An 18,371-nucleotide genomic window follows, 5' to 3' on the forward strand; every position below is an offset into this window, starting at 1 on the left:
CAGTGAATATTGCTGAACAGCAAATGTTGCTGCCTGATCATTCCTCTGAAAGTTTCATCTCAGATAGGTACCCAGCCATGTGAGGTGTCAGTCTGCCCCTACTGGGGCATGCCTCCCAGTTAGGTTACTTGGGGGTCAGGGACCCATGTGAGGAGGCACTCTGTCTGTTGTCAGATCTGAAACTTCGTGCTGGGAGAACCACTACTCTCTTGAAAGCTGTCTGACAGGGACATTTAAGTCTGCAGAGGTTTCTGCTGCCTTTTGTTTGGCTATGTCCTGCCTCCAGATGTGGAGTCTGTAGAAGCAGGCAGGCCTCCTTGAGCTGGGGTGGGCTCCACCCAGTTCGAGCTTCCTGTCCACTCTGTTTACCTACTCAGGCCTCAGCAATGGTGGGTGCCATTCCCCCAGCCTCACTGCCACCTTGCAGGTGGATCTCCAACTGCTGTGCTAGCAATGAGTGAGGCTCTGTGGGCATGGGATCCTCCGAGCCATGTGTGGGATCTAATCTCCTGGTGTCCTGTTTGCTAAGACCATTGGAAAAGTGCAGTATTAGGGTGAGAGTGACCTGATTTTCCAGGTGCCATCTGTCACAGCTTTCCTTGGCTAGGAAAGGGAATTCCCTGACCCCTTGTGCTTCCTGGGTGAGGTGATGCCTTGCCCTGCTTTGGCTCATGCTCAGTGCGCTGAACCCACTGTCCTGCACCCACTGTCTGACAAGTCCCAGTGATGTGAACCCCGTACCTCAGTGGGAAATGCAGAAATTACCCATCGTCTGCATCAGTCTTACTGGGAGATGTAGATTGGAGCTGTTCCTATTCCACCATTTTGGAAAAAAAGGTCTGGTTGTGATTTTTCCCAGCTTCTTCTAAAAATTATTTTTCATCTTCTGCTTTGACTGGCAGGTCCTTGCCTGAAAGAATAGCTTTATCTTTGCCACTCCTTCCTTTATTTGCTGTAGAGATTCTCAGTTGTTGTGCTGAAATGGCTTACACTGGGGATCCAGCTGCACAATTGTTCAGAAGGAGCATTCACTGTGGATTTGGTATATTATGCAACATTTGGTGTCACCAGCTAAGGCCTGACAAGATTCATCACTCAGTTTTCTGGGACAACTGAAATTGGAATGGAGTATGGATTTGGTCAGACAGATTCCTCAGTATGGAAACCTAGTGGTGCCATCTTACCCTATGCCTATATTTTCAGATTGTGCATAAGTAGAAGAAATTTAGAATCAATGCTATAAAAAGGGAATCCTGATTTCCTTTCCTGGCAGAGCATGACACAAGACAAAGATCATTTCACCTATGTCCACATACTATTAACTTTTTAGTTCTCACGCTGGATTTTCAGAGGGTAGTGCGATGGACATGGTTAAATAGTTAATATGAAGAATGTTTAAAAAAATTAGGCCAGTGGTGATGGCTCAGGCCTGTAATCTCAGCATTTTGGGAGGCTAAGATGGGTAGAACACCTGAGGTCAGTGGTTCAAGGCCAACATGGTGCAACCATATCTTTTCTAAAAAATCAACAATTGTGAAGCCTGGTGATGTGTGCCTGTAATCCAAGCTAGTTAGGAGGCTGAGGCAGGAGAATCACTTGAGCCTGGGAGGTGGAGGTTGCAGTGAGCTGAGATCCTGCCTTTGCACTCCAGCCTGTGTGATAGAGTAAGACTTCATCTCAAAAGAATGGACAACAATAAAATGGATAATGCCAAATAAATAAAAAGTGAAAAGATTAACTTGGGTGAACCCCAAGACAACAAAGAAAAAAGAAAATGATATTTTAGAAAGTGAGGATAAAGTAATGAAAGATGGACTGAGACAGATTAAAATGAGGAATACATTATTGTAAATTTAAGGCCAGAATAATGCAAGTGTCAAAAAAACAACAAAAGCAACAATAAAACAAGCACAGGGAGGGGTAGAGAGAGGGTGAATGAGGAAAAAGAGAAAGCAAATGCAAAATGTAAAGTAATCAGCATGATTAGAATATCTGTTCATTCCCACTCTCTGCAAATTCTTTGTATTTTGAGGAACATCCTGACAAGATTTTAATGTAATCAATCACGGAGTAGTCTAACCCAGAAAATATCCTAGCTTCCTCTAGGATTCAAAGACCTTGTACCTTCTTAGGTATTCTCTCTCCATCTAGGTTAAACTAAACTGTTTCAACAACAAAAACTACTTTGAATTTTCTGCCCAAAAGGAACATCACGGACGTTCTTCATCTTGGGTCATCACTTGAGTAATGAAGTAGATGGAGCAAATGTACTTTCCCCCTTACATAAATACAATTAATAGCACCACATAATGTATATAAAGCAAACATAAGACTGAAGGATGGAGCAAGAAGATAAACGGGTGAGGAAATTTAAGATGCAACAAGTGATAAGATGGTTGAGTTTCCTGGATTCTTTTTGCCTGGTGTTATCACAGACTTGATCCTAATGGAGCTGGTACCCAAAAATGTAAATAAGTACAGGCAAAAAGTTCTCCCAAAACCCAACTTCTATAGCCACATGGCTAGGAAAGGGACACCTTACAAAGAGAAAAATATTTTTACAATAGCCTTCCTACTTTAGTCAAACATTACAACAGAAAACAAAGCAAACCAAAAAAGCTAGCCAGGACAACAATGTTTAAGTTGAAACATAGAGAGCACCAGGCAGTAATGAGGCACCCCAACCCTCTGCTGGAGTGGAATCACATAAGGGAAAGTAGAGAGTTAGAGTTTTCAATGCTGCCATATGGGGACACCCTTCTGCTTCTAGCCAGGGAGGTACAAGTAACACCCAGGTTGAAGCTGGAATCTGCATATTTTTTTATCAGTAGCTAGAAGGGCTGCCTTGGATGTCAAAGGAAGTGAAGAAGAGAATTTGGAATTGTGCCCTTCCTTTACAAGCATACACTTTCCTTTGTTATGGTGGTATCAGACAAAGCCAGCTACAAATGAACAAATAGGATGTCATAATATGGTTCAGAGTTTCCTAACATTTCCTCAAATGTTTAACTTTCAAATAAAAATCTCACACAGAAATGTTAGTGCTACTGTTAAAGGATCACTATGGTGTCAGTTTTTCTTGCCAGAAACTTCTGTGGCCATGATGCCTTTGCTTGACTTCTTGTCCTGTTTGCAGGAAGAATGAGGTACACAGACAGGTGAAGGGTAAAGAAGAAGCAGAGTTCTATTTGGCATTAAAACGGTTCAAAGTGTTGGGATTCCTTCAGTACGGTGGCAGAAATATGAAATGGAAATATTATGGAAAGGTATAGGGAATAGTCACAAACTTTTTGGAAGGCCGAAAGATTACATAGCTTGTAATAATTGAACAATTATTCAATTGGAGGGAGGTCGACCAAGGATATTGCCCCATACTGTAATTTACTTTAGACCACGGTACCTGAGCTTTAATCATTCATAGGTCTACTCTCTCAGCCAGGTTAATTATCCACAAGTGTGCTGACTCAAAGCTTCTGTTGTTAATTGTATACTAAATAAATGCCTGGAGTGCGAGCTGCTCAGGGCCGGCCTCAGTAACAAACTTTTCTTGTCATGCAGGTGCTCAGACATTCAGCTAGACTGGCAAAACAGAGTATCTATGTGCTAGTGTGTGGTTTATCCATCTGCAATTTGGGTCAGGGTCTGCGGGCAGACCCCTGAAGCTAGTGCCCTCTTGTGAGGAGCAATACCTCACAAAGGAGTGGGTAGCTCTCCTCTATAGGCAGGTCTTCCTATGGTGTGTTCACTCTAGAGAGAGAGGCTCCTCTCTGTCGGCAAGTCATTTAGATGTCTCTGCAGGTCTGTGAAGCTCTCTGTTGCAGCTGCTGCTCTCAGCGGAGAGGGTACTGCTCTCCTCCCGTTGTCTACAGCAATCAGCAAGAAGGGTACTCCTTTCTTTAGCAGACTGGCTTTTGAATGTCTTCATAAGATCCTTCACAGAGCAGCAGTTTTTAATTTTGATTTGATACAGTTAATCTTTTTTTTTACTTTTATGGCTTATGCATTTGGTATCAAATATAATAACATTTTGCTACAACTAAGAAGCTTGAATTTTTTTACGTTCTTTTTTTCTGAAAACGTTTTATAAAATGTGTTGTAATTTTATATTACATTGAAATTCATGAGACATTTTGAGTTAATTTCTGTAGTATAAGATTTATGTTATGGCTTTATTTCTTAAATTTATAAATATCCACGTGCCCTGGCACCATTTGTTTAAAGGCTGTTTTTCCTCCACTGATTTCTGCTTGCCAGATTTGTGTCATATCACTTGGTCATATCCACACCAGTGTGGCTCTATTCCTGGGCCTTCTCTTCTGCTCCATTTTTATATGAATCTATTTCTATGCCAATACCAAACTGTTATGTTCATTTTAGCTGTGTAATAAGTCTTAGAAATGTTGATGAATTTCTCCCACTATATACTTGTATACTCATAATTGTCTTAGCTATCATGGTGAGTAAGTTTGCTTTGTCTGCAAAAATTCTTGCTGAGATACTGATAGGAATTTCACCAAATATATAGATCAAGCTGGGGAAAATTAACAGGATATATTGTCTTCATATCCATGAACACAGTGTATCTCTCATTATCTCTATTTGATTTCTTTCACCAGTGTTTTACATGTTTCAGCACATAGATCTCATACATGTTTTCTTTTGTTTAAATGCATATCAAAACATTTGATGTTCTTTGGAGCAGTTGTAGATCATACAGTTGCTAATTTGGGGTCCTGTTGACCTGCAGTGTGGGAAAATAGCAGAGTGCTAATTAGTTTGGATTTACTTCAGTTGTTCAGTTCCTAGGAGGGTGGGTGGTGGTAGATGGTTAACTCTCCACTAAAGCCCACTGACAGGATAGAATAGAGGAGGGTGGTGCGGAGACAGTCAAACCACACAGTGCAATCAGTCCTAATCAGCTCTAGCCCTTTAAAAATTGTTGTTGTTGAGTCAACCTAGATGATCAGCTTGCTACCAGAGACTCCTGACATAAGGGAATTGGAATGCTCTCCTCTGCTTTCTCCGGGAGGGTGATAGAAGATTCCCTCTGGCCAGATGTGGTGGCTCACGCCTGTAATCTCAGCATTCTGGGAGGACGAGGCAGGTGGATCACCTGAGGTCAGGAGTTCAAAACCAGGCTAACATGGAGAAACCCCGACTCTACAAAAAATGGAAAATTAGCTCAGTGTGGAGGCACATTCCTGTTATCTCAGCTAGTCAGGGAGCTGAGGCAGGAGAATTGCTTCAACCCAGGAGGTGAAGCTTGCAGTGAACTGAGATTGCATACCATCGCACTCCAGCCTGGTCAACAAAAAAGAAACTCCAGCTCAAAAAAAAAAAAAAATTGCTGCCTACTTTGACTTTATGGAGAATCAAGCATTACTGCCCCGTGAGAAGATTGTCTTTGTATATGGCTCCACACAAATGGCAATACTAGCTTTTTTTTTTTTTTTTCTCGTAGCGTTTGTCTGGAATAGCTTGGTTATTACCCCTAGAAATGTTTTGTGTGATTGTGTATGGTTAGGCCATCCTCTCCTGGTCCTTTGGCTGAGAGAGAACAGGATTTGCTTGAAGTCCTTTTTATCTGTGCCTATTGGAGATTCTGTGTTGGAAGCTTCTACAGTCCATCATCTGTGATATATGGAAGAAAATAGGAAAACCCAGAAAAGTGACAATGTTATCAATCTTTAAGTCCTAAAGTCCCTAGACAAACTGCCTTCCTCTTTCTGCCTTTCAGAGCCTGTCCTTGTTTTTTTCTCGTTATATCCATGGTGTTTTAGTTGTTTAGAGGAAACACTGGGCTGTTGCATCGTAACTGGAAATCCTAGGAAGTGAATGGTTGAGAACGGCTTTGAAAGTTCCATGCAAACCAAATCTCATAACGCAAAACATGGGAAGATATGATTATAGAGAATGACATGATATGATTTACCTACAATAAAGTGGTTTTATAAAATAAAGTCTTCACCAAAATTAAATATTCTTAGAGAAGTCTGCTGAGATCAGCTAGGTCGTGAAGACCTTAACCCAGTGGCACTAGAGGAATTAAAGACACACACACAGAAATCTAAAGTGCAGAGTGGGATCAGTGGGCTGACAGCCTTCAGAGCTGACAGCCATGAACAGAGTTTTACCCACATATTTCTTGACAGCAAGCCAGAGATCAGCGTTGTTTCTATAGATTATAGATTCAGTAAAATGGAAGACAAAGGGAGGGGTTCTCGTTAGTTATCTGCAGCAGGAACATGTCGTTGAGGCACAGATCACCCATGATATTATTTGTGGTTCAAGAACACCTTAAGTGGTTTTCTGCCCTGGGTGGGCCAGGTGTTCCTTGCCCACATTCTGGTAAACCCACAACCTTCAGTGTAGACGTCATATCTATTTTGAGCATGTCATAGTGCTTCAGAGATTTTGCTTATGGCCAGTTTTGGGGCCTGTCGATGGCCAAATTTGGGGGCCTTTTCCCAACATGTCTTCTTTTTTTGTTTTTCTAAGACAATAAAAGCAAATGCAGCTTTACTACTCTGAGCTACTTCTCGCAGGAGTCGGGATCTGCATCTGCAGACTATACAAAGACAAACAACAGAGGCTAAAAGCACAATCATCATTAAAATCACAGAACCTCCAAGAGTTCTTATCCATTTTATTGGATTAGTAGCTGCTAATCCATCTGCAGCTCCTTCAAGTACCCCTGTTCCTGGCATTAAGGTTAAGTGTGCCTGGGATACTTCAAATAATTGTTATTTTAATTTACAATATCCAAAGACATGTTCATAGAGTGTCCTTCTAGATGCTTTTTTATTCTTTCTCAAATGTTTATACTACGAAGAGCCATTAATAGGTTCCACAAATCCTTATTTTTAGCTCCTAGAGCGAGCCATATCATTTGAGGTTGAGGTGCCATTATACCGCCATGTTTCCAGAGGAACTCTTGCGGTACTTCTTACCATTTTTACCATCTGATGGCTTTGTTCAGACCAGCTGAACATAATGTGGCTGTGGCACATAGACTGAGAGTTGCAATTTAAGGTAAACATCCCCTTAGGGGGCCAAACAATAAGGATTCCCTAGGAATTGTTACACAGCACCTCAGTCTGTTCTGCAATGCAATTTTCCCAAACAAGTACATTCATTTTCTCTGGCCACGTCCAGCTCTGTTTACAAACAGGTTTTTAAGGGTGGTATGCCTCAATTATAGGAGCAGATTTATTATGAAATATACTGAGACCAGAAAGCATGTGTGTCAGCATGGACAGGACTGTGTCAGTTCTGTTAAAGAAATACTCATGGCAATGGTGATCACCGCTTTGATAGCTATCATTAAATTACTCACTGGGACTGGTTGTCCCACCTCAGATTTTCTCTCACCATCTGTGACAGCTTCTTGATCTGTCCTCAGGTGGGTGGCTGCTTTTGATGGGTGTTGCTCATGATATTTGGGGTCCTCCTCAGGGTCAACTTAGACAAGACTGCCACCGATGTGTCTTTGGAATCCTCTCAAAACCACTTTCTTGGTATCTGGCTCATAGCAGGGCTTTAGATGTCTCAATGGCATGCACATTGGCAGTTGATTTGGTACTGGAGAAACACAAGCATAACCTCCACTCGATGTTATTATTTTACCTATTTCCCAACTTTCCATTATTGGATCTCTCAACCAAACCAGTTTTTCTGCTTCTATCTTTGCAGCTGGCTTCTGTAGATGCTGTTTGGCTGCAGATAGCATCTGGTCCTAGACAAGCTCAAAAAATTTAGAGTAAATCATGCTAGATTCAATTTCATATGTGGCATCCCACAGTCCCTGTTTCCACCTTTTGCTTTTGCAACTGTTGTTTAAGGAAGAGATTCATTCTTTCCACTATGGCTTGTCCTTGAAAATTATATGAGATACCAGTAATGTGTTTAATATTCCATATAGAGAAAAATGTAGCTAGAACTTGGCTACTATAGCCTGGGTCACTGTCCTTTTTAAAGAAGCTGGAATGCCCATCACCACAAAACACTGCAAAAGGTGACATTTAACACAGGCAGAAGACTCTCTTGATTGGCAAGTAGCTCAGACAAAGTGAGAAAATGTGTCCACACATACATGTATATAAGCTAGTCTCCCAAACAAGGGAAAATGTGTGACATTCATTTGCCAAAGAGAATTAGGTCCCAATCCTCGAGGATTAACTCCTCCTGTAAAAGATGAGGAATGCACCATTTGGCAAGTTGGGTATCGCTGGATAATAGCTTTCACTTCTTTCCAGATAATGCTGTACTGTGTTTGAGACCAAAAACATTAACATGGGTTGAATTGTGAAAGTGTCTGGCATTAGATATTGTAGTAGCAACTGGCGGATCAGCCATTTGATTCCCTGCAGTCAAATGTCCTGGAGGAGGTTTATGAGCTCTAATATGAGTAATGCAAAAAGGGTTCATTCTACTTCTAGCTGCTGTGTGTAATTGGGTAAATAAAGTCATCAGTTGCTCATCTGTGTGGAATCATAGCTGAGCATTTTCAAGTAACTGTGTAGAATGAACCACATATGAAGAATCAGAAATCACATTTATAGGCATACTAAAACAAGTCCATACCTCAATTACAGCTGCAAACTCCACCTTTTGAGATGAAATATAGGGCATTTCCTGAGCTGGAAATGCCCTGGTTTAGAAAGCGGACTGGGACGGCCCCTCCTGGCATTTCCCAAAATCAGGTTTCCATCTTTATCAAACTTAGAGTGACACTGATTATCCGAGTAATTTTCTTTTTGCATTTTGGACATATTCCAGGCTCAGCAGTTTTCCTTTTATCCCTCAACTTGTGGCCTGACTCACTGATTTTTTTCACATTCTTTTCCAGTGTGACCATGCTTCCCACAGTTAAAACAAGCTCCAGGAAATGGAGTATTTCCTTTACCCACTTTCAGTCCTGTCATGGCTTGCACCACCAAAGTAGCTTTATGCAGATTACCTCTGATACCATCACAGGCCTTGATATAGTCAATTAAATGTGCTTTCCCTCTAATAGGTCACAGAGCCACCTGGAAATATGGATTTTCATTGTCGAAAGCTCATAACTGCAACACTATATCCTCAGCAGCTAAATCTGCAGTCATTTTTTAAGAGACTCTTATAACCAAGCTATAAAATCTGCATATGGTTCTTTTGGTCCCTGTTTTATAGCACTAAAGGAAAGATATTGTTCTCCTCCTGAAGTTATTTTTCCAAACTCTAATGCATACTCCTCTAAGCTGTTCTATGGCATCACCCAGCATGACCACTTGTGCATCCAAACCAACGCAGCTGCCTACCCCCAAAAGATGGTCTGTAGTTATATTAATTTGAGGTTGGGCCTGCGCATTGTGAGAAGGCTGAAAAAAGCTTCTTCTCCTCACCAAGTTTTAAACTGTAAAAAGTGAGCGAGAGTCAGGCAAGCTCACGTAAGAGCATCCCATTCAGTAGGAATCATCTGACTGGGGACAGCAACATTCTTTAACAGTACCATTACCAAAGAAGAACCTGGTCCATATTGATTAATAGCTGGTTTAAATTCTTTGAGTAATTTAAAAGGAAAAGGCTCAAAAGTAGTGATAATATTTCCCTGTTGACCTGGGGCATGTATCCTAACAGGGAGCTGCCAAGCCTCTATATCACCCTCTCGTCTAGGTTGCTGAATTCCTGCCTGAATAGAACGAAGAGCAATTGCTCATGGCACTGCTTGAACAATCATGGGGCAACTAGTTTTTGGTCAGTGGGTTCCAGAAAAGAAAGATCTACAGGGTCAGACCACTCTTTTTCTTCAAAATAGTGAGGGAGTGAAGAAGGGCAGAGACAAACCTCTCTCTCCTTTGCCACTTTAGCTTTAGCTGGCAAACAAACCTGTTCTGTCACCTCTTCTGTTACTTTGCTATACTCTCCTTCCTCCTAATCATCAATGTGAAAATGTTCCAAGGTGGAACAAACCAGAACCTGGACTTGTCCCATTGTTAACCTGATGCTTCCAAACTCCCCTTCTAACTCACTATGGCGATTGCTTAAGAGTAGCCAGATGTCCTCCAGTGTAGTCCTACATTCTCCAACCATTGCTCCTGTGACCTTTGACCTGGATTTGAGACCCCGTATAGTCACCACTTGCCGAGGCCAGCTCGGTCATGGAAACCATAACCCAATGGCACTAGCGGCATTAAAGACACACACACACACACACACACACAAATATAGTGTGCACAGTGAGAATCAGGGGGCTAACAGCCTTCAGAGCTGAGAGCCATAAACAGAGTTTAACACACATATTTATTGACAGCAAGCCAGTGATAAGCATTGTTTCTATAGATTACAGGTTAACTAAAACAGGAGACAAAGGATGGGCTCTGGCTAGTTATCTGCAGTGGGAAAGTGTCTTTGAGGCACAGATCGTTCATGGTATTATTTGTGGTTCAGGAATACCTTCAGTGATTTTCTGCCCTGGGTGTGCCAGGTGTCCTTGGCCTTCATTCTGATAAACAACCTTCATTGTAGTCATCATAGCAATCAGAAGCATGTCACAGTGCTATAGAGATATTGCTTATGGCCAGTTTTGGGGCCAATCTATGACCAGATTTTGGGGCCTGTTCCCAACAAAGCCTTTATAATATATGTAAAATAGCCAATGATTTAGAGCATATTAATAATATAGATCAATGAAAAAATTATAAAATACATATCCTACCCTTCAAAATAAAACAAAATTGGGAAGACTTCCAGAAAATATAAGCAAAAATGTGTTCTTCCTCAAATGCTGAAGGGTTATAGTAGAAAGACCTTTGTCAGAGATTTTATTTGTTAAGTGACAAATGATTTAATAGAAATCAAGCGTTTATTTTTCAGTTCACTGGAGCAAAGTTAAAAGCTGCAAAAACAACTCCTATGAAAGCCAGAGCTTCTAAGTGTAAGATAAAATTTTAAAAAAGAATAACACACTGACTATCAAGAAAAGAAACATCCCTGAGGTTTGGACTCCAGCAATATTAGTGTGAGAATAAACCTGACAGTTCATTGATACAGTAAACTGAGGAGTAAATTTAGATATATTTTCAGGAAAGAGACCATTTCTGTGTCCAGTGGGGTTGGGCACCCTGCCTAAATAATTGGTGGAAGAAAGCATGATTCAGACATTTTGGTAAAATACTTAAGTCAGTACAGAGAGTCATGTCTCACAGATACTAGGATCTAACACAGAATGAGGTTTGTATTCAAATACATGAGAGAAAGATTTATATCTCAACCTCTATCCTGTGGTATATTCAAGACTGAGGTTAGATTGTTTCATGTTGCCTACAAAATATAAGGTCCCCAAAGGCAGAAATGGGTATACAATACTAGATTGAACAATTAAGTTCCTAAAAACCTAAAAAGGTTAACACAAAACTGCCCCACTAAGAATCACTTTACACTCAAGAACTAAAGATTGCTTTATCACTTCACAGACGACATTAACAATTCACAGATGGATGTTCCATGTCCTAAGGGGTAGCAAAGGAAGACACACTTAATGGTCATACTCAAGGATAAAAAGTTGAATCAAAAAAGTCTTCATAATGAGTAGGTTTAGGAGTTCTCTGAGATGAAGAAATGGAATCTAAAGGAAAAAAGATGTGGGTAGGAGGAAAAAAATAATCTTTTTTAAATAGACAATTATACATTATTGAAAAATCAACCATATATTAAAGGAACTCAAATAATATTTTGTTTGTTTGTTTCTTCTGCAGTAGACCCCGAACAAGTACAGTAGGAAAAGTACTTTCCTATGTTGATCTGTAGTAAGTTTGCCAGGTGCAGGGACATAACATTTCAATTTAAAATTTGATTACTTTTTGACAAACAATAAAGAATTTGTTTTCAGTATGAGCCTGTCCCATGAGATAACGAGAATTTTAGTAAGTTACTAGAATATTGAGAATTATACTAAAATGCTATTTGCTTATTTAAAATGAAAATATAACTGGTAATCCTGTATTATACCTGGTGACCGTAAATGAAACAGAAGTCAGGAAAGTGGAACTCAGTGGTGGAAGGTTTTATATACATTTACAAGAAACAAAAGAAGACAAAAATATACAGAAAGGGAAACACACAGATTTTGAAAATAATCTCTACAGAAAATATTTATCCACATAAAATATCATTTACTAGAAACATATTTTTAACTCTCAAAGATTATGCCAATATTAAAGACTTATCAAAAGACCAAGAGAAAGAAACATAAAGCTTATTTTATTTTAGCAAAGAGAAAAATAAATCTCAAAATAAAAGAGGTAGGCAGGAAGTTTTTGTTTGTTTGTTTGTTTTGTTTTCTGAACGGGGCTAGACATAGGTTTTACTTTGTTTAAAAAATGCTATTGAATTTTTTTAATTTGATTCTTTAATTTTTTTAATTTGATTTTCTGATTTTTTTAATTTGATTTTTGAATTTGATTAACTACAGAAACTGTAGAAATTTGGTGATTAATGTCAAAAGCACAAAAAGAAAAAAATACGAGTAAGAAAAGTAAATGAATACAATTAGAAAAACAGGTGACGGGTGGGGAAAGGGAGAGAAGAACAAAGGCAGATAGGAGGCAAAGGCAGAGCCAAAGAAAATCTAGGGTAAATGAAAAACTGACTGAGCAGGTGTTAGTTATTTAGATAAGAGAGTAACCATATTAGATGTAAGCTGTTTAAACTCATGTGTTAAAATATAAAATACTCTACCGTTAGATTGATAAAAATTTGCTTTCACCTAGGAATAATCACACTGAAATATTGAAAATAAGGATTTAGAAAAAATTAACAAGTATTTATCCAAAAAAATTAGGCCACTGTTATTATATAAGGAAAATGAGAATTTTAGAAAAAATGCAAGGAATAAAGATGGAGAACTATAGATGCAAGGCAACAGACAAAATATGAAACATCAAAATATTAAAAAATTTTAAAGATAATATAACAGTCACAAACATAAATTCCTCAGTAGCATTATCACAATATACATCTGAGGCAAATTTTATGAATATCTATTTATATAGACAAGCCCCAATTGTAGTGAGATGTGTTATATATGTGACTCATCTAGACTAATGAGTATACAGACATTTAGTCATCAATAGAAACACTTTGCAATGTTTGTGTACTTACTTTTCTTCAGTTTCAAAATGTGAAGCCAAGTAGTAGAGCATGTTTTCAGAATTTCACAGCTCTGCAATAGAGCAAATATTAATACAGAATAACACTTTTCCCCTTCAACGTCAACTCCATCTAACCTAACTAGCATGATGCTTTGCCTTCTCACATGCTCTCTAGACATCCTACTCACCCTTCTTTTCTAGATCCACATTCTCATGATACTGTCTTCTAACAGAGCTTACTTGGATGCCAACACAATGCAGGCTTGTGAAGATATCCAAGCAAAGAAGGAACAGGAACTGCAAGATATCAAGTCGTAGTAAAATGAATAACTCAATTCTTACACATAAATATTTGGCAGAGTGTTTCAGCTGAAGCATTTACAGCTCTGACAAATCATCACATGGCTGCTCTGCAGTAAACATATGTATTCCACCAAACTAATGTAAATGTTCAAATACCTCACTTTCTATCTCAAGCTACTGGGATGTATCTCCAAGGAAAACTTCCCAGTGGTTAAATCTTTTTATTCAGAAAAAATATGAGAGGTTTTAAGTTAGCAATTTTAAAAGGCAACCCTTTGTTAAAATGATTGTTCATACTCCGGAAATTTGTGGCATGTTCACATTTGTTGCTAGAGCAGTTCTATTAAGACACTCATTGGAATATGTGATGCTTCTTGATAGGGACCTGTAACATGCCAGCTTTCAAGGGATGAGACCACGAATTCACATATACGCCATCTATCCTCAAATAACTGCTATCTACATAGGAAATAAAATGGAATAGGGGTGAAGTTTCAATTCTTAGAGCTGGCATTTATTAAACTTTGCCTCAAAGATAATGTGATTTTTATGACTGACTTTTCAAATTAGCTTTTCTTCCCAAGTCCAGGCTCCCTTAATTTCCTCAGCCAATAAGAAAATATTTTTCAAAAATGCAAAAATTAGCAACAATTATGCTGACTCCACTACAGAAGAATTTGGATTCTGACTCATTGATTAGCTTTCCAAATGCAATTTTATAATCTACTCCTAACAGATCTGGATTAAGACTCATTCACAAGATTTCCAAAAGCAATTTTTTAATAGGTTATATTCCAACAACATACTCATCCATTTTTCATTATCCTTGGGATAAAAATGTCAGCTCCATCTTAAGGAGGATATGTTTAAATTTCTAAGAATTTGTATCACAACCACAGACCCAAATATGTTTCATGTAATTTTGCTCCATAAATATTTTTCTTAAATAGAAAATGTTACTTTATTAAAATGACCCCCCAATTTTAACCATTTCAGTGGTCTAGTTAAACAGTTTCATACCAACTCTCTAAAACCTAAATTTAAACTGACCATAGGCCACTAATCTCTTACTTTTATAGACTCGAAGACAGAATTTAAATTAGGTTTAGTATTTATTTGTTTAATCTAAATCTTAGTTTCCTGGAATAATAAAGTTTGATGTTTAGCAAGAAAAGTACTTGAGTTTAAGCCAGTTTCAATACAAGCTTGCCTTCTGCATTATTATTGAGTAGCAGACATTAAGTGACTATAGTTACTGGGTATTAGTGATGGTAAACTTTGTGTTTTTCATTATGAAATAATCTGTGTAACTGTTGGGTATATCAGTGCTTTCAAATGTGCTGCTTAGAATAGGATTAACTGTAAATTCATGTCAAGAATTAACTTGTGATTTGGCTGTTTCCTGAATTTTATAATATACATGTGCAGAAATGTATTCAAAATTGAGTAAGGAAGCACACCTCTATCAGCATGCTATTAAACTTGAACATCAAGTATCATATATCGGTAGAGTTTTGGGGGTTTTTTTATTATTTGGGATTTTTTTTTTAATTGAGAGAAGCTCTCTTCTGTGCAGAATGGCTATTTCAAAGTATCTCACTGTTTGTTTTCCTGTTCCATGACTATTTTTTCCAGCAGTGGTGATGCATTGAAGTCCAGTTTTCTAGAAGGGGAGTGTCTCAACCCTAATTTTACTTTTCTAATTCTGGTAGCTGCAGGAATTTTTGAAAGTTTTGTTTAAGTAGTCTAATATTTTTTATGTAAAGAGCATTAAATTTTGCTGTGTATAAATTGTCATAATCTAAAAGTGAATCAACATTTTCAGTCCTTGAATCCTAGAACTTTTGGGAGGCCGAGGCATGTGGATCATGAGATCAGGAGATTGGGCCCATCCTGACTAACACGGTAAAACGCAGTCTCTACTAAAAACACAAAAAATTAGCCGGGCGTTGTGGCAGGTGCCTGCAGTCCCAGCTACTCCAGACGCTGAGGCCAGAGGATGGCGTGAACCCGGGAGGCAAAGCTTGCAGTGAGCCAAGATTGCACCAATGCTCTCCAACCTGGGCAACAGGGCAGACTCCATCTCAAAAAAAACAAAAAAAAAAAAAAAAGAAAAAACTTCCGTCAGTGCCCAAGTGCCAAGCGCTTCCTATAGTTCTAATCAAGCGTTACAATAAATACTTGTAGAAAATAGTCAATATTTATGCATGCTTATTTTGCTGACATCCATAAGTGGAAATAGTTGTAGATGTACTAAGAGTAATGAAGTAATATTATAGCTTCATTTACTTGCCTTTTTACTATATATAAATCTATCTTTGTCCCCAGTATGGTGTCACATTTGAATAATGTGCATAGTAAAGATTTCATGTTGTTATAAAAATCAAGTCTGTGAGTGCTACTTGTTTTATTTTTGGCAAAAATCTCTTCAGCAATTTAAGAAAATATTATAATCCACTGGGCTGTATTGGGCATAAAAGTGCCACTAACACTTCTGTAGTTCTCTGTATAAAGTTATACGTTTTATGACCAGTTTTGCAACAAATAAAATCTATCTACCAGTAAGATTAACAAGGCTTAAACTTGGGCAAAGTACAACAATAAGTTTCCCTGTGTAGTTGGTTATTTTTTCAAATCAATAGTACAAAATTCTATGGAAAGGTTTACTCAGGAATATATAAAAAAAAAAAACCTGGTTCTAACAGTTACTCTCTAGAATAGCAGAGCTAAATATGTTACTCAGGATTTTATTTAATAATCTGTTTGAACTCCTTATCTGTCAACATGATTCTAAATTTGGGTTCTCTGCATCTGACATTTCTTAGTGCCTCATAGTCTTTATCACTATTGACACATGGCCATCTCTAATTCAGGTTCTGACTCTGGATCATCTCCTTTCATTCATGCATGGCAGGAGAAGAGTACACAGTTCAATTGGTGTACTATTTGTCACACTACATACTACCTTCTGTTTAAGTAACAATTTGTGCAATTATTTAATTCACACAAATCAACAGAGGAAAGTGTAAGTAATAGATAGGATCACCAGAAGTCTCTAAATTGTCAAAAGTGATCTTGCCACCTGGGAAGGAACCCTATATTTATAAACTAATGAAATACTTGAAGCCAATTCATGAAGTATTATGACCAAAGTTTCCACAATAAAGATGCTATCTCAGTATCTTCCTGTTCCTATAACACAATACCTTAGACTGGGTAAGTTATGAAACCAGAAATATGTTTCTTACAGTTTTAGAGGTTGGGAAGCCCAAGGTAAAGGCACTGGCAGGTTCAATGCCTGGCGTAGGCCTAGTTTCTGCTTCCAAGATGGTATCTTGTTGCTGTGTTCTCCAGAGAGGACAAATAAAGTATCCTTAAATGGTGGAAGGGCAAAAGGGCCCAGTTATTTCCATTAAGCCCTTTTATAGGGTTGCTAATTGCACTCTTAATTGCCTCCAGAAGCCCCCACCTTTTAATTCTATCACACTGGAGGGTTTAACTTCCAACATATGAACTCTGGAGGGACACACACATTCAAACCACAGGTATTAAATGTAAAGATCAGAGGCAATATTGTACTATTCATAAAGCCTAGGAATTTCTGTGTGTTTTTATGTTCCGGGAGAAAACTGAAATGTGCCGGCAAAAGATGACCTCATTTTACAGATGGCAGTCCTTCACTGGAGAGGAAAGAAAATAGCTTAATCTTTAAAGAGTAGGCCTGGAGTTAATCAATATGATAGGTTATACTCATTTAAAATTTAGGAAATATAAGCTTAGAAAAACAGCTCTTTTTAGTGTAATGAATGAGAAATTCTGTGACTGGAGAAGCTGTCAAACATCTTCATTGATTCCAGAATCATCTTCTCTAAAACAGATGGGCATGAAAGCACAAAATACACAAACACATTTATAAAACATTTTAAGTGTTTAAAAATGCAGTACTATAATTCCATCGTGTATGCCAGTGAACTAATTTTTAAAATTGGAATCATTGCTATCATCAATGGAAAACAAATAGGTCATCTCAATGAAGGAAGTGATTAATTTCCCTCAAGTGTCCTGTGCTTCAGATTTGAATTAACCAGGAATCTAAGGAACATTCATATGTTGCTGTAATTCAAGCAAGACTTAGCAGGTCTATTAATTGGACAGATAAATTTATCTGCTAGGCCAGAATCAGAATATAGAAGGGAAGCAGAGAACCAGAGGAAGGAGGGAGGCAATGTATGCCCCTGGAAGCAACCTTGGACTGGCAGCCACCTTCACTGTTTGGTTCTTCTACAGCCAACTAGCTGACATTGACAGCCTCTTATTTCAGCTCTTTCTTAAATTTATTATTATTCTTAATTTTTTGTTTGTGTTGAAACTGAGTCTTGCAAATGGACGGCAGCCCTTCTTAGAGTTTCAGCGATTACTCTGATGTGGATCCTTTCCATATCTTTTACTCCACTCCTGATCTCTATACCTAGCCTCCCATCCACATTTCTGATAGTTTCTTTCCATACACATGTAGAAACTCCACAGCACCAGCTTCATCCCAGGAGTGATCATCCCAGTCCTTCGCTCATGAGCCATCTTCCATCCACCCAGTAACTAGCCCTGGCACATTCACACTCTCTGTCCTGTGGCTGCAAGAGGGGTCTTCCTCATCATCTGCCTGGAATACTGAAACAGCCCTGTCAAGGCTCTCTGTGAATTCAGTCTCTGCCTGCGAGAAACCTGTGGTCATCTGCACCAGGCATTCCCTGAGGGGAAGATTGTATCTCATGTACAGTGTCTCTGCTCTGGTAGAGTCCAATGCCATGGTATTCTGGGCTCTGATAATCTGCCTTTTTCTTTCCAGATTGATTTCACATAACACCACCAACATTGTACTACAAATGTTTCATCTGTACCAACCCATTTTCTGGGGTCTGACTATGGCTGTAGCTTCCT

General features: G+C 38.7%; 1 long non-coding RNA gene across 1 annotated transcript; it reads right to left on the minus strand.

Moving 5' to 3' along the window:
- Positions 1 to 10,276: 10,276 nt before the first annotated feature.
- On the minus strand, positions 10,277 to 13,401 carry LOC107987352 (uncharacterized). The gene is made up of 3 exons (XR_001756085.3): positions 13,319 to 13,401; positions 13,141 to 13,201; positions 10,277 to 11,605 (listed from the first exon to the last, which is right to left on the minus strand). It is a non-coding gene; the product is annotated as an uncharacterized LOC107987352 (long non-coding RNA).
- Between the last annotated feature and the right edge of the window lie 4,970 nt (positions 13,402 to 18,371).

Source organism: Homo sapiens, chromosome Y (assembly GCF_000001405.40).
Source record: "Homo sapiens chromosome Y, GRCh38.p14 Primary Assembly".
NCBI lineage: Eukaryota > Metazoa > Chordata > Mammalia > Primates > Hominidae > Homo > Homo sapiens.